A 16654-nucleotide genomic window follows, 5' to 3' on the forward strand; every position below is an offset into this window, starting at 1 on the left:
AGCAAAAAACTCCTTGCCTTTATTTTTCTATTATGATGGGAAGATGCTTTCCGATTGAAATTGCTTCACCTTACCAGTTGCTTGAGGTCTTTACTTATAAACAGATATAGATGCATGTTGCGTTGGAAAAAAAGGATGAATCTGAGACCAGACTGACCAAAATTTGGGCAAAACAAATAAGAAAATGTGGATTAGTTCCCAAACACGTTAACCACTTTGTGCAGTATATAGCCCATATGAAAAATATTTTTGAAATTCCTTTGGATAATTAATTAGTATGATATGGATTGTGATAAGTGTGTTTTAGGCATCCTGTTGTTTAGTGGTTATGTCATGAGTTGATGTGAGCTTGTGTGTGTGTATACATGTACACAAACATACAGATATTTTTATTTATTGCATCTATTGGACAGAGTATTTGATTAATTAGACCACTTTATTCTCTGATCATGTAAGATTAAAGCAGATGGCATCATGTTAAATGTAAAATTAACAGTATATTTGTGAGACAAAGAGTTTTACACTAGGCCTGTTACGTGGATTAACATATTGCAGCCTCACAAACCACAAAACTATTAAGAAAGTTATTTGTATCTTCTACATGCAACTGATTTAATTTAATGATTGTTTTTCTGAGTGTGTAATTGCAAGATGGTAGAAAGAGGAAAATGGTATAAAGCAAACAGCTTAATTCTCTTAAGAGGAAACTGAAAGTTTTCATGGAGTTGGTTGCATTTAAAACAGGCCTTGAAAGATAAGAATAACTTAAGTAGGTTATTAAGTGAGCATTCCTTGAAAGAGGGAATTTGTGAGGGAAGAAAAAAAAGTATGGGAAAAAGCATAGGGATAGATAGGCAACCGTGGGGCATATAAAATTAATGCTAATTATTAAGTTATTATTTAGTAAATATTTCTCATTTCATGAAATTAAACACAAATACTAAAACAGAGAGGGCACAGAGTTTTCGGACTGAAAAACTCTTGTGGATTTGAACTGAGATTAGCAGTTGGTGGTTGACAAACCGCTGTTCAATATTATACACACATACATGTATATATCTTCAAAGTGCTTTAAAATATTAGCCAATTTTAAGTAACAAATCTCATAAAATACAATTTCCAACTTTTCTTTAAAAGATTGAACTTATCAAATATAAAAATACAGTTTTTGGTTTTTTTTTGTCACCTTATAAGAAATCTCCTGTCCTCCTCTTTCCCCAAATGACAGGCATTGTGACTGTCAGGAAAGACCCTCTGCATCATTACACCACACAACATCCTAGAAACTTCTAACCCAAGGAAGCGGAGGCAGAACCCTAGGGTCTGGACTCAACTGTCTTCCTCTTCCTTCGGAGTCTATATTCTACTCTTACTTCCTAGAAGTCTAATGTAATAAAATGTCCCCTTTGGGCAAAACATATCTCTGCTTTCTCCCAGGTTTTCTGCTATTGTGTTGACGAGCATAAGAACTCTATTTCGAGTAACACTATCTCTTCTCCCCAAATTTCTAAGTTTTTCAGGAAACCAAATGTTATTTTGCTGTAACAACATCTTTTGTATTAGAAACATGTAAGTATCAATAATGCGTCCGGGCGCCGCTGCTCCCGCCTGTAATCCCTGCACTTTTCAAGGGGGGCACATCACCTGAGGTCAGGAGTTGGAGACCAGCCCGGCCAACGTGGCAAAACTCCGTCTCTACTAAAAATGCAAAAATTAGCTGGGCGTGGTGGCGCGCGCCTGTAATCCCAGCTACTCCGGAAACTGAGGGAGGAGAATCTCTTGAACCTCGGAGGCAAAGGTTGCAGGGAGCCGAGATCGTGCCATGCACTCCAGCCTAGCGACAGAGCTAGACTCCGTCTAACAACAACAACCAAAAAAAGCATTTTACCAAATGTTAGAATAATTACATTTTAAAAGCTAAAAAACTTAGCAAGCATGTTATTATAGAAGGCTTCATATTAAGACATAATGATCAAGTTTCAAATAAAATCAAGTTAAATAATGCTATCAGATACTGTGTTTTACTTTTAATTTATTTCAATTGCTTCTATTTATAAAATCTGCTGTTTTACTCACATTTGCTATGATATGATTTTCCTATATATCAAAGACCACCACCAATAGTGTAATAAATATATTGCTGTATAAAATGTGCATACACTAAGTGGTCCTGACTAGAGTCAGGAATACTAATAGGGGATTGCTTTGTCTTTATCTTTGCATTTTCGAATGACACAAATGTTGCCTCAAATTTTATAATAAAGAAAAACCTTAAAATACTTTTGTGGAGAAAAGCGTTAATGTTTAAAAAGCAAAATATTGTTTCGGTAATTAATATGATGTTGGCTATTAGGAGAATTATAAATTGTATTTTAATTACTTAATATTAGTCTACAAATGTGGAGCTCTCTTATATTCATGCCCAAACATACTCAAAGAATATGTGATTAACTTTCTGTTATATCTCCAAGATATTCTGCTTGAAAAGATGCTGTGATTGATTACAAGTCTGCAAACCAATATCTTCCTGCATCAAAATTCAAGTGCATTACCGTAGCACAGAAGGGTGTTATGGCAGATGTCATCCAACTGCTTCGTAGCTGCATGATCGATGGTGCGAATGGTGATTGATGTTATTGACATGCCCTGGCACCTAAAATAGAGTGTATATGTATGTGTGCCAGAGGGAGGGAGGGGCTCATATTCGGATTTTAAAAATGCAAAACTATAGGGCCTGAAAAATAATTGACCACAGAAAAGGAGTGAAGTGAATAATGAAAGTAATAGTTGCTTTTGAAAAGAACAAATATAGGTCCAGCAAGAAATATGGTTGCAGAGAAAAACAGAACAGTTTTGTTTTACTAAGCTGAAAATATATGTGGCTTTCCCTTTCCAACCATGTTTTTATTTTACTTAGTTTCATTATCTGTGTAAGTAAAAGTGGGGCTAGAAAGTGGTGCTCTTGTTTAACAGAAATGACATTTTATCTGTCACACTTCACCAGTGGACAAATGAGGAAAAGGAAAAAGAGATATTGAAGGACTTAGGATTAGAAAGTAAATTGCATCTGGTATAACAATTTTGAACCAAATTTTATCTAAAGTATTATCTGATTGTGAGCTGTAAAACATATAGATAAAGAAATAGGTTAGAAATCTGTTGATATTAATTTTGTATATTCAGTTTAGAAAAACTTATTTTAAAACTTATTTTAAGAATGGGAACAAATTAGCTCAGTCAGGAAAGCCTTTTTAGAAAAGACTCATTAAACAGTGAGTCTCACATATAAATGTAAGAAATTTTACACCAGCCACATGAATAAGGAAACTTGATAGACATTATTTTTAAAAAGGGGAAAGAGGAACATGATCGCAAGACACATTATACAGTGAAGAATGCTAATTACAAATGAAGTCATTGCACAGACATTAAGCATTATTGATTATATTTATTTCAGTGTTTTTTTCAACTGGGAAAACGTTACTGATTCTTTGCTGTGGAGATATAAAACTATTCATTTCTTTTTGCATTCCTTAGAAACCATAAACAAAACTGTACAGAAAATGCACAGGATATCACATTGCAAAGTAGATAATATGGTTAATTTTCAAATATATGAAGCTAGATCTTGACATTCTAGAAAAAACACCTAAATAAAATTATGAAAGGTGTATTTTATCTTTATATTTATGCATATTTATAGAATTTAAAAAATACCCATGTGTTATCTAAGATATATTGAACAATTGTCATATTCCGGGGCCTGTTCTAAGCATGATAGATATAAATTCCTGGCCATGTTAATACACATACATACACACACGTGCTACACTAAATTAATAACTACAAATCTATATGAGGTAACTGTAAATGCTGTTATCCACAATATACCAATGAAACAAACGAAGGAAAGAAAAGGTAGGTACCTTGGCCAGTGTTCCACAGGAAGTTTGTGGATGAACGAAGATTGCTACTTAGGTGGTCTGCTTTCTGGGGCTGCAACCTTAAATGCATGCACGATGTAGTTTGCAAATTACAGAAAAGCAAAGACCAAAGAAATTATTATCATTATCCAAAAGCCCACTATTTATATATATTAGGAAAACACATATATTTTTTTTTCTAGTTAATTTTTTTTTTATTATTATACTTTAAGTTTTAGGGTACATGTGCACATTGTGCAGGTTAGTTACATATGTATACATGTGCCATGCTGGTGCGCTGCACCCACTAACTCATCATCTAGCATTAGGTATATCTCCCAGTGCTATCCCTCCCCGCTCCCGCCACCCCACCACAGTCCCCAGAGTGTGATATTCCCCTTCCTGTGTCCATGTGATCTCATTGTTCAATTCCCACCTATGAGTGAGAATATGCGGTGTTTGGTTTTTTGTTCTTGCTATAGTTTACTGAGAATGATGATTTCCAATTTCATCCATGTCCCTACAAAGGACATGAACTCATCATTTTTTATGGCTGCATAGTATTCCATGGTGTATATGTGCCACATTTTCTTAATCCAGTCTATCACTGCTGGACATTTGGATTGGTTCCAAGTCTTTGCTATTGTGAATAATGCCGCAATAAACATACGTGTGCATGTGTCTTTATAGCAGCATGATTTATAGTCCTTTGGGTATATACCCAGTAATGGGATGGCTGGGTCAAATGGTATTTCTAGTTCTAGATCCCTGAGGAATCGCCACACTGACTTCCACAATGGTTGAACTCGTTTACAGTCCCACCAACAGTGTAAAAGTGTTCCTATTTCTCCACATCCTCTCCAGCACCTGTTGTTTCCTGACTTTTGAATGATTGCCATTCTAACTGGTATGAGATGGTATCTCATTGTGGTTTTGATTTGCATTTCTCTGATGGCCAGTGATGATGAGCATTTTTTCATGTGTTTTTTGGCTGCATAAATGTCTTCTTTTGAGAAGTGTCTGTTCATGTCCTTTGCCCACTTTTTGATGGGGTTGTTTGTTTTTTTCTTGTAAATTTGTTTGAGTTCATTGTAGATTCTGGATATTAGCCCTTTGTCAGATGAGTAGGTTGCGAAAATTTTCTCCCATTTTGTAGGTTGCCTGTTCACTCTGATGGTAGTTTCTTTTGCTGTGCAGAAGCTCTTTAGTTTAATTAGATCCCATTTGTCAATTTTGTCTTTTGTTGCCATTGCTTTTGGTGTTTTAGACATGAAGTCCTTGCCCATGCCTATGTCCTGAATGGTATTGCCTAGGTTTTCTTCTAGGGTTTTTATGGTTTTAGGTCTAACGTTTAAGTCTTTAATCCATCTTGAATTGATTTTTGTATAAGGTGTAAGGAAGGGATCCAGTTTCAGCTTTCTACATATGGCTAGCCAGTTTTCCCAGCACCATTTATTAAATAGGGAATCCTTTCCCCATTGCTTGTTTTTCTCAGGTTTGTCAAAGATCAGATAGTTGTAGATATGCGGCGTTATTTCTGAGGGCTCTGTTCTGTTCCATTGATCTATATCTCTGTTTTGGTACCAGTACCATGCTGTTTTGGTTACTGTAGCCTTGTAGTATAGTTTGAAGTCAGGTAGTGTGATGCCTCCAGCTTTGTTCTTTTGGCTTAGGATTGCCTTGGCGATGCGGGCTCTTTTTTGGTTCCATATGAACTTTAAAGTAGTTTTTTCCAATTCTGTGAAGAAAGTCATTGGTAGCTTGATGGGCATGGCATTGAACTGTAAATTACCTTGGGCAGTATGGCCATTTTCACAATATTGATTCTTCCTACCCATAAGCATGGAATGTTCTTCCATTTGTTTGTATCCTCTTTTATTTCCTTGAGCAGTGGTTTGTAGTTCTCCTTGAAGAGGTCCTTCGCATCCCTTGTAAATTGGATTCCTAGGTATTTTATTCTCTTTGAAGCAACTGTGAATGGGAGTTCACTCATGATTTGGCTCTCTGTTTGTCTGTTATTGGTGTATAAGAATGCTTGTGATTTTTATACATTGATTTTGTATCCTGAGATTTTGCTGAAGTTGCTTATCAGCTTAAGGAGATTTTGGGCTGAGACAATGGGGTTTTCTAGATATACAATCATGTCATCTGCAAACAGGGACAATTTGACTTCCTCTTTTCCTAATTGAATACCCTTTATTTCCTTCTCCTGCCTAATTGCCCTGGCCAGAACTTCCAACACTATGTTGAATAGGAGTGGTGAGAGAGGGCATCCCTATCTTGTGCCAGTTTTCAAAGGGAATGCTTCCAGTTTTTGCCCATTCAGTATGATATTGGCTGTGGGTTTGTCATAGATAGCTCTTATTATTTTGAAATACGTCCCATCAATACCTAATTTATTGAGAGTTTTTAGCATGAAGGGTTGTTGAATTTTGTCCAAGGCTTTTTCTGCATCTATTGAGATAATCATGTGGTTTTTGTCTTTGGCTCTGTTTATATGCTGGATTACATTTATTGATTTGCGTATATTGAACCAGCCTTGCATCCCAGGGATGAAGCCCACTTGATCATGATGGATAAGCTTTTTGATGTGCTGCTGGATTCGTTTTGCCAGTATTTTATTGAGGATTTTTGCATCAATGTTCATCAAGGATATTGGTCTAAAATTCTCTTTTTTGGTTGTGTCTCTGCCCGGCTTTGGTATCAGAATGATGCTGGCCTCATAAAATGAGTTAGGGAGGATTCCCTCTTTTTCTATTGATTGGAATAGTTTCAGAAGGAATGGTACCAGTTCCTCCTTGTACCTCTCATAGAATTGGGCTGTGAATCCATCTGGTCCTGGACTCTTTTTGGTTGGTAAACGATTGATTATTGCCACAATTTCAGCTCCTGTTATTGGTCTATTCAGAGATTCAACTTCTTCCTGGTTTAGTCTTGGGAGAGTGTACGTGTTAAGAAATTTATCCATTTCTTCTAGATTTTCTAGTTTATTTGCGTAGAGGTGTTTGTAGTATTCTCTGATGGTAGTTTGTATTTCTGTGGGATCGGTGGTGATATCCCCTTTATCATTTTTTATTGTGTCTATTTGATTCTTCTCTCTTTTCTTCTGTGTTAGTCTTGCTAGTGGTCTATCAATTTTGTTGATCCTTTCAAAAAACCAGCTCCTGGATTCGTTAATTTTTTGAAGGGTTTTTTGTGTCTCTATTTCCTGCAGTTCTGCTCTGATTTTAGTTATTTCTTGCCTTCTGCTAGCTTTTGAATGTGTTTGCTCTTGCTTTTCTAGTTCTTTTAATTGTGATGTTAGGGTGTCAATTTTGGATCTTTCCTGCTTTCTCTTGTGGGCATTTAGTGCTATAAATTTCTCTCTACATACTGCTTTGAATGCGTCCCAGAGATTCTGGTATGTTGGGTCTTTGTTCTCATTGGTTTCAAAGAACATCTTTATTTCTGCCTTCATTTCATTACGTATCCAGTAGTCATTCAGGAGCAGATTGTTCAGTTTCCATGTAGTTGAGCGGTTTTGAGTGAGATTCTTAATCCTGAGTTCTAGTTTGATTGCACTGTGGTCTGAGAGACAGTTTGTTATAATCTCTGTTCTTTTACATTTGCTGAGGAGAGCTTTACTTCCAAGTATGTGGTCAATTTTGGAATAGGTGTGGTGTGGTGCTGACAAAAATGTATATTCTGTTGATTTGGGGTGGAGAGTTCTGTAGATGTCTATTAGGTCCGCTTGTTGCAGAGCTGAGTTCAATTCCTGGGTATCCTTTTTGACTTTCTGTCTCGTTGATCTGTCTAATGTTGACAGTGGGGTGTTAAAGTCTCCCATTATTAATGTGTGGGAGTCTAAGTCTCTTTGTAGGTCACTCAGGACTTGCTTTATGAGTCTGGGTGCTCCTCTATTGGGTGCATATATATTTAGGATAGTTAGCTCTTCTTGTTGAATTGATCCCTTTACCATTATGTAATGGCCTTCTGTGTCTCTTTTGATCTTTGTTGGTTTAAAGTCTCTTTTATCAGAGACTAGGATTGCAACCCCTGCCTTTTTTTGTTTTCCATTTGCTTGGTAGATCTTCCCCCATCCTTTTATTTTGAGCCTATGTGTGTCTCTGCACGTGAGATGGATTTCCTGAATACAGCACACTGATGGGTCTTGACTCTTTATCCAGTTTGCCAGTCTGTGTCTTTTAATTGGAGCATTTAGTCCATTTACATTTAAAGTTAATATTGTTATGTGTGAATTTGATGCTGTCATTATGATGTTAGCTGGTGATTTTGCTCGTTAGTTGATGCAGTTTCTTCCTAGTCTTGATGGTCTTTACATTTTGGAATGATTTTGCAGCGGCTGGTACCAGTTGTTCCTTTGCATGTTTAGCGCTTCCTTCAGGAGCTCTTTTAGGGCAGGCTTGGTGGTGACAAAATCTCTCAGCATTTGCTTGTCTGTAAAGTATTTTATTTCTCCTTTACTTATGAAGCTTAGTTTGGCTGGATATGAAATTCTGGGTTGAAAATTCTTTTCTTTAAGAATGTTGAATGTTGGCCCCCACTCTCTTCTGGCTTGTAGGGTTTCTGCCGAGAGATCTGCTGTTAGTCTGATGGGCTTCCCTTTGAGGGTAACCCAACCTTTCTCTCTGGCTGCCCTTAACATTTTTTCCTTCATTTCAACTTTGGTGAATCTGACAATTATGTGTCTTGGAGTTGCTCTTCTCGAGGAGTATCTTTGTGGCATTCTCTGTATTTCCTGAATCTGAACGTTGGCCTGCCTTGCTAGATTGGGGAAGTTCTCCTGGATAATATCCTGCAGAGTGTTTTCCAACTTGGTTCCATTCTCCCCATCACTTTCAGGTACACCAATCAGACGTAGATTTGGTCTTTTCACATAGTCCCATATTTCTTGGAGGCTTTGCTCATTTCTTTTTATTCTTTTTTCTCTAGACTTCCCTTCTCACTTCATTTCATTCATTTCATCTTCCATTGCTGATACCCTTTCTTCCAGTTGATCGCATCGGCTCCTGAGGCTTCTGCATTCTTCACGTAGTTCTCGAGCCTTGGTTTTCAGCTCCATCAGCTGCTTTAAGCACTTCTCTGTATTGGTTATTCTAGTTATACATTCTTCTAAATTTTTTTCAAAGTTTTCAACTTCTTTGCCTTTGGTTTGAATGTCCTCCCATAGCTCAGAGTAATTTGATCATCTGAAGCCTTCTTCTCTCAGCTCATCAAAGTCATTCTCCATCCAGCTTTGTTCCATTGCTGGTGAGGAACTGCGTTCCTTTGGAGGAGGAGAGGCACTCTGCGTTTTAGAGTTTCCAGTTTTTCTGCTCTGTTTTTTCCCCATCTTTGTGGTTTTATCTACTTTTGGTCTTTGATGATGGTGATGTACAGATGGGTTTTTGGTGTGGATGTCCTTTCTGTTTGTTAGTTTTCCTTCTAACAGACAGGACCCTCAGCTGTAGGTCTGTTGGAATACCCTGCAGTGTGAAGTGTCAGTGTGCCTCTGCTGGGGGGTGCCTCCCAGTTAGGCTGCTTGGGGGTCAGGGGTCAGGGACCCACTTGAGGAGGCAGTCTGCCCGTACTCAGATCTCCAGCTGCGTTCTGGGAGAACCACTGCTCTCTTCAAAGCTGTCAGACAGGGACATTTAAGTCTGCAGAGGTTACTTCTGTCTTTTTGTTTGTCTGTGCCCTGCCCCCAGAGGTGGAGCCTACAGAGGCAGGCAGGCCTCCTTGAGCTGTGGTGGGCTCCACCCACTTCGAGCTTCCTGGCTGCTTTGTTTACCTAATCAAGCCTGGGCAATGGCGGGTGCCCCTCCCCCAGCCTCGTTGCCGCTTTGCAGTTTGATCTCAGACTGCTGTGCTAGCAATCAGCGAGACTCCATGGGCGTAGGACCCTGCGAGCCAGGTGCGGGACATAATCTCGTGGTGCGCCGCTTTTTAAGCCGGTCCGAAAAGCGCAGTATTCGGGTGGGAGTGACCCGATTTTCCAAGTGCGTCCGTCACCCCTTTCTTTTACTCAGAAAGGGAACTCCCTGACCCCTTGCGCTTCCCAAGTGAGGCAATGCCTCACCCTGCTTCGGCTCGCGCACGGTGCGCGCACCCACTGACCTGCGCCCACTGTCTGGCACTCCGTAGTGAGATGAACCCGCTACCTCAGATGGAAATGCAGAAATCACCTGTCTTCTGCCTCGCTCACGCTGGGAGCTGTAGACGGAAGCTGTTCCTATTCGGCCATCTTGGCTCCTTCCCCGGGGAAACACATATAATGTTTTAAAAGTATTCTGATCTCTGGATTCTTAACTTGGAGGCCATGGATAGGCTTAAAACTCATCCAAAATGTTTTGTGTGCTTTTGTTTTTTTGTAGAGGAAGTTTCCAAAACTTTCTTCTAATTCTCAAAGAGATAGTAGAACAATTAATCTAATCTCAATCTCTAAATTCACCTGTGAGAAAAATGAGACCTGGATCTGTTGCTAGATCTATGAACAGACCAACTATGAGACCTTGGCCAGCACTCAGCCTTCTGCTGGGAGGAAGGGTCAGTGCTGCCTAGAGAAAAGAGCACTAGACTCAGAGAAAGCAAGGACAAAGCACAGAGCTTGTGGGAGAAACCATCACGGACTCAGACTTCTCCTGGCACTCAGGTGTCTGCTTTGCTTTCTCTTCACTCCTCCTTGTTGTATTACCCCATCTCCCACTGCAGAAATTTACTTTACTTTTTGATATACAAGATACTGAGACTGCATCTGTCAAATTTTCACTGCCAAAATTATTTTGCAAAACTCTACTCAGTTTTATATACTCGTGTGGTTGTTTCTCTTTGTTTTTCACTAACATTGAAAGCAAATCTACAGGAAATACTTTTTTTTGCTTGGAAGAGGAATAGAGATTATAATCTAATTTGGTAAGTACATTTATGAAATACTAGGACGCTAAATATTCTGCATTAATTTGGGGAGGTGGCCTTTTAAATTTTAATTGTCAGAAGCTACATTTCCTACTGACTTATTTAACAGCCTGAAGTCTTTCTAAATAAAAGCAAATTTTAGTGCAATATATAGACAACCTTAATCCAGACAACAATATAATAGTTCAGCAGCCAATCCTGAAAAGATTATTCAGGATGCAATCCAGTGCTACTGGTAACTGTATACCTCACTGGAGATAAACCCAGAATAAATAACATGCTTGATGCTTCTAATTCCTTAAAATCAACATAAAAACCTTGCGAACTATTTCATGCCAGGTTTGACAGGTGGTGATAGTGTTTGAGGAGGCATAGGATATACTGCAGTGATAGCAATGAATGGTGCAGCATTTGAGGTGTGCTTGGGTAGAGAGCAAAACAAGCCTGAAGAAGTTAAATTGAAGTGCTTCACAGCATATCACTTTGCTGAGCTGCCTTTAAACTACCTTAAAATATTTTCCACTTTTGGAAAGTTTCAGAGATCAGCAATGCATAGAATGGCATTCAGATGAAAATATGGATGATAGTTGTACAAAATTAAGAGTTTGAAGAGCATAAAAAATGCTGCTGAAATATTTTTTAAGAATCTGTGATCTCACCAGCTTTGTGAAATCTTTGTAATGTTTCAGATTTATTAATTCTACTAATTGCATGCTTTTGCTTTGTCTCTGTGCATTATGAACCCTCTCCTGTCCATGCTCATATCAAGTCAGATAAGAAGTATAAGTTTTAGTTACAGGAAACTGTTCAGTGAATAGAATTATGATAATCAGAATAAAGACATCATTTTATGAAGTATTTTGTATCATTTAAGTACTATTTTAGCTGCTAAGCATAGAAACACACTAAATGTTCAGAATATGCTTCCAGAATTAAATTTTAAAGTTAATAGTACTTTCAGGAGATTCCCTCTTAAAAAAGAACAGAAAATGATAAATTGAAAAGATAATCTGGACCAATCACAAAATAAGGGGTTATATAAAAGTTTCATGCTCTTATTTTCTTGAGCAAGAAAAACATTTTAAAATAATATATTCAACTTATTTAAGAGAAAAATTAATAAATGTGCTTCTACCCTTGTGCCTAGAAATAATTTTAAAGCCAAGTGAGATTTGTGTCTTTCTTTGCTTCCACTTGGAGTACTACCTGTGACTTTTGGAAGAATTTCTGTATATTTTGTGTCTTAAAACATAAAATTAATATACCTTTATTGAGTTTCTACTAAAAGTCAGGAATAGTGGTCAATGCGAGGTTTTTTATCAAAGATGTGTAAGGGATGGTCTCAGTGCTCAGGTTGTCAGGTTATTTATACTTCAGTTGAGAAAGGTTTAAATACAAGATGTTTTAATGCACCCCGAAATAAGATTATAATATTGAAACAATTCAATCTTTCGTGGATTTCCAAACTTACACCAAGTAAGTTTTCCTGAGATTTAAGTAAAGGAGATCTTGTTTTTTTAGAAGCGTTGGAAAGATAAACAGTCACAGACTAAAAAATTGACTACTTGAAGAATTGTCTAATTTGGTTTATGATCAATTCAAAAAAGAACATGCTACAAAAATATTATTTAAAAGGTCTTCTCTTTTATTATACAATGGAAGCTGTAAACATGGATACTCATTTTGATTGTTCTTTTAAGTCGTTTTATAACCTTGGACAATTTTTCTTACTTGCAAATGAGATTTTTTGAAATTCCTTTTCTTTTAAAATATGTGTATTTTCTCTTTATGGAGAAGCAATAGTGTGAAAATTTAAGCCAATATATGGAATTTCATTTTAGCTATTTTAAAATACCAATTTTTGTGGGGGCACTCGATCTCATGTTCTTAAAAAATTATATTTGTAGCCAAGGATGAAGAACAAACACAAAACAATGCAAAAAAGGAAAGGGTTATGAAAAACAATTGTGTGTTTCTATATTTTAAAAAATAATTCAATTAGCAAGCAACTGTATATTTCATATTTCATATTCAAAATGGGTTTCTTTTTTGTTTTATTGAATATTCTTAATATTTCCATTGTTGACAATTTTCACTGTCAAGGGTCAATTGTACAAATTTTATTGGGAGAAATGTAAATGCTGCATAGTTTAAATTCCATTCTGGAACTTCTTTTGTTTAGTCTTTCTGTATAAATTTTCTATATAGAATAAAATCCATTGTACATATAGATGTTTATGAATTTTTCTCTGATTTTTATTTTCTGTGTAATACATATAAATATATTTGAATGCATTTTCTTGTTATACAGGCAATTTTGCTCTTCCTGTCCTGAAAATTGAAAGGCCAACTAAAGTGTAATATAAAAATTATTGGAATACATTCAAGTCCACAATTCTTTCACTCCTCAAAAGATACCCCGAAACAACTGTCATTAAAACATAACGCAAAGTCATTTAAAAGGAGCCAATTGTTTCATCATTGCAGCAAACATCTTTTCAAAGTGGGAGCAATCGTGTTTAAATACACAATAAAATGTGTATAAAATATTTTTTTATGAAAGCAGCTTTGTGCAAAAGATGAATTTTGACACTGTCTCCAATAAGTGAATGTTCTAAATAATTCTATTGCAAATGAATTGGTTTGAATATTTCTTATTTCTTTGTAACTAGATTTCATGCGTAAATCATAAATATGGGAGATGACATGTTAGCAAGCATGGAAAAACAAATTCTCCGTCAATTGAGTGGCATCCAATATCACAATCAAGCAACACTGAGTAAAGCTGTGGATTTCACCCTGTAAATCATGATTAGGTTTGAATGTGATCCCTTAATGATCTTAAGTAATGAATTTGCTTCTGGTGTTCAAGCAGTAGGACAGGTCCCTGTGGTGGGAACATATGTCTGTCTTTAAAACTGCTGATTTGAAATGGTACCTCTTCAAATGTTCTCATTATATCCTTTTATAATGGCTCTATGTTTCCCTTCTAACAATATTCTTTCTAAAATGAATTATTGTCTGGTTAAGAAGTCAATGACAGTCTCTTGAGATGACTTCTTAGAGAGTAAATTTATTTTAGAAATTCATATCGTACAAAAGAAAACATAAAATCATTGTAATAGGTTGAAAGGAAGCTCCCCACACAGTCCTGACTGACAGAGAAGAGAAAGCAATCTTAAATCTTGGCTTCTTTCCTCACGCTGGCAATAAGGGTGCCAATAAGTGCTGATTATGATGGTGGTTTTTTATGAGGTAGACACCTGTTAAGTAGGAACTGGACTGTGACCATCAACTCATTTCCCACACACCACTAAACAGCTATCCATTTTTTTAATGACTTTTGGCCAATGTTCATTTCTAAGCCAGTAGTTCTAATATGGCCCAGGTTGGTATTACACCACTTAAACTCCCCAATGTATACGAATAAAATAGAATTGAAATAATCTCTTTTAAGCAGAAATACAATATGATACGGTAAATGGCATTCTAAAAAATAAAAAAATAACTTTGACTAAAATATTATTTTTATCTGTAAGTAAAATAAATATATTCAAACGTATATAACATTCGTATGACATATACATGAACTCAATGTTGTAGCCATATCCATGTGTAGTTATGCAAAAAGGGACACGCATAAATGCATAGCAGCATTGCTGCAGACCACCTTAATATTGTTACTATACACATACACACCTCTCTGAGTTTCCATGTAGTGCTTCTCAAGCACAGTTATAAACATGTTAATTCCTTAGTGAAAAACCTTCCCTGGCATCCTATTTCTTATCATTTCTTAACACAGCCATCTAAGTCCTCCATGGTGTATCCAGTCTGTTTTTCTAGGCTTACCATTAAATATCTCCATCCTTTTCCGTATGTATGTACATATTCTGTTCCAGTAATATCAAACTGTTACTGCATTACAGGTCCTGAGGTTTCTTAACTATCTTTTGTTATCTTTTTATTTTCACTAATAGTTTTCCTCCCATAAGTCTACCTAGAAAACTCTATTAACTTTACCAAGTCCTATTTAAGTGGTGTTCTTTACATATTCTTCCTAATTCCCCTATTTAGAATTATTACCTCTTTCTTTTGCGTTCACATAGTAAATTATACCTTTCTCGCATCACTGATCAAACAGGTGGATATTTTACTCTCAAATGATTATATTTGTTCAACTACTTATATTCCCAACTAGACTGTAAGTTTCATGGGTTCTGGGGCTACACCCTCAACAATTGGTCAAGCAGAGATCATGCCATGTTCTAGCATCCATGGGAACAAATGTGGGGCAAGAAGGATATAGGGAGGAATATCTGTAAATGGATCCTAGGCAGTCAGTTGGTAAGAGGGAAAGCTCTTAAAAATACTTCTTGATTATATTTCCTACATTCCTCATAGTTTGCACTGCTTGCTTGAAATGTTTTTAATCCCTCTCCTAAGTTAATATTTATGTCAAGTATTCCAACTTAAACTAATTTGTTGAAAAGATGTCATGTTTGGAAACTTTTCTCAGGTGGAAAGACTGCTGCCTGTATCCAACTCTACATACATTTGAGTCCAGTGCTATGCAAATATGATAACGAAAACTCAGAGAGGCTTGTTGATATGCTGTATTTCAATGGGTAAGTCTAAAATCCTGATGAAAATAAAATCTGCTCTGATTTTTACATTTATAAACTGAGACACCATCTGACAACTGGGCAGCAATATGCAAATAGATTTGCTGGGATTTTTAAGCAGCTTTCCCTGTAATTCAGATGTGCATAGTGCAGAAAGTCTCCTTTGCTTTCTGCACATGTCCAAAGTAACTGTTCTAAATCTGATATGAACCTGTCCCCTTATCCCAGTGAAAAAATACTGCTATGGGAGCTAAATTGGGCTGGGAGAAAAAGACTGAGACCACCAAGTATTTTCAGAATGACCCCAAAGGCCATCTGTCTTTCTGACTTGTAACTGATATTGGTGCTAAGACTTTGGTAGATCAGTTCCAGCCCAGACAGCTCTCATTTTATGTATATAGAAATAAAATGAGCTTTGGGTTACAAATAATCAGCTTAATAACAACATCAGCATCTGCTCAATATTATAGTTATTCCTAACCTTGGTTGGATTCCTACTTTGCATTCTAATCTCCCAGAGTGTAGTTTTTACCATAGAACTAACCGTCTGCTTTGTACTTAAGAATATAGGTTCCAACTATTTAACCCCAACTCTTCATTTTACACTACTAAATTTACTTTACCCACGCGAATATTCCATTTTCCTTATTTGTAACATTTATAGTTTAGCAATCTTACCATGCTTTGTTTATATATTTTTCCGTGCAAATAGGGGTTTTGATACTTTACTATCCTTTATTAATTTGCTTGCTTTATATACACATATATTTCTTGTCTCATACTCTTGGCTTAGCAAAACTTTCCATCCATCATTTATCTGTTTCTTGAGTCTATGTTGTAACGTGTCCTCCTCTTTGTTGATTTTTTTTTTTTTTTTTTTTTTTTTGAGACGGAGTCTGGTTCTGTCGTCCAGGCTGGAGCGCAGTGGCGCGATCTCGGCTCACTGCAAGCTCCACCTCCCAGGTTCACACCATTCTCCTGCCTCAGCCTCTCGGAGTAGCTGGGACTACAGGCGCCCCCCACCACTCCCGGCTAATTATTTTGTATTTTTAGTAGAGACCGGGTTCCACTGTGTTAGCCAGGATGGTCTCAATTTCCTGACCTCGTGATCTGCCCGCCTCGGCCTCCCAAAGTGCTGGGATTACAGGTGTGAGCCTCTGTGCCCGCCCTGGTGCTTCTCTTAAATGCCATTTCCGTTAATACCTGCTAGAA

General features: G+C 37.0%; 2 annotated features.

Moving 5' to 3' along the window:
- Positions 9301-9906: an enhancer, noted in NCBI's record as "H3K27ac-H3K4me1 hESC enhancer chr5:103787247-103787852 (GRCh37/hg19 assembly coordinates)". NCBI's record gives its function as "activates a minimal SCP1, AML or CMV promoter by ChIP-STARR-seq in naive H9 embryonic stem cells {active_cell/tissue: H9 hESC(naive)}" and the evidence as "EXISTENCE:reporter gene assay evidence [ECO:0000049][PMID:30033119]".
- Positions 9907-10510: an enhancer, noted in NCBI's record as "H3K27ac-H3K4me1 hESC enhancer chr5:103787853-103788456 (GRCh37/hg19 assembly coordinates)". NCBI's record gives its function as "activates a minimal SCP1, AML or CMV promoter by ChIP-STARR-seq in naive H9 embryonic stem cells {active_cell/tissue: H9 hESC(naive)}" and the evidence as "EXISTENCE:reporter gene assay evidence [ECO:0000049][PMID:30033119]".

This window comes from Homo sapiens, chromosome 5 (genome assembly GCF_000001405.40).
Source record: "Homo sapiens chromosome 5, GRCh38.p14 Primary Assembly".
NCBI lineage: Eukaryota > Metazoa > Chordata > Mammalia > Primates > Hominidae > Homo > Homo sapiens.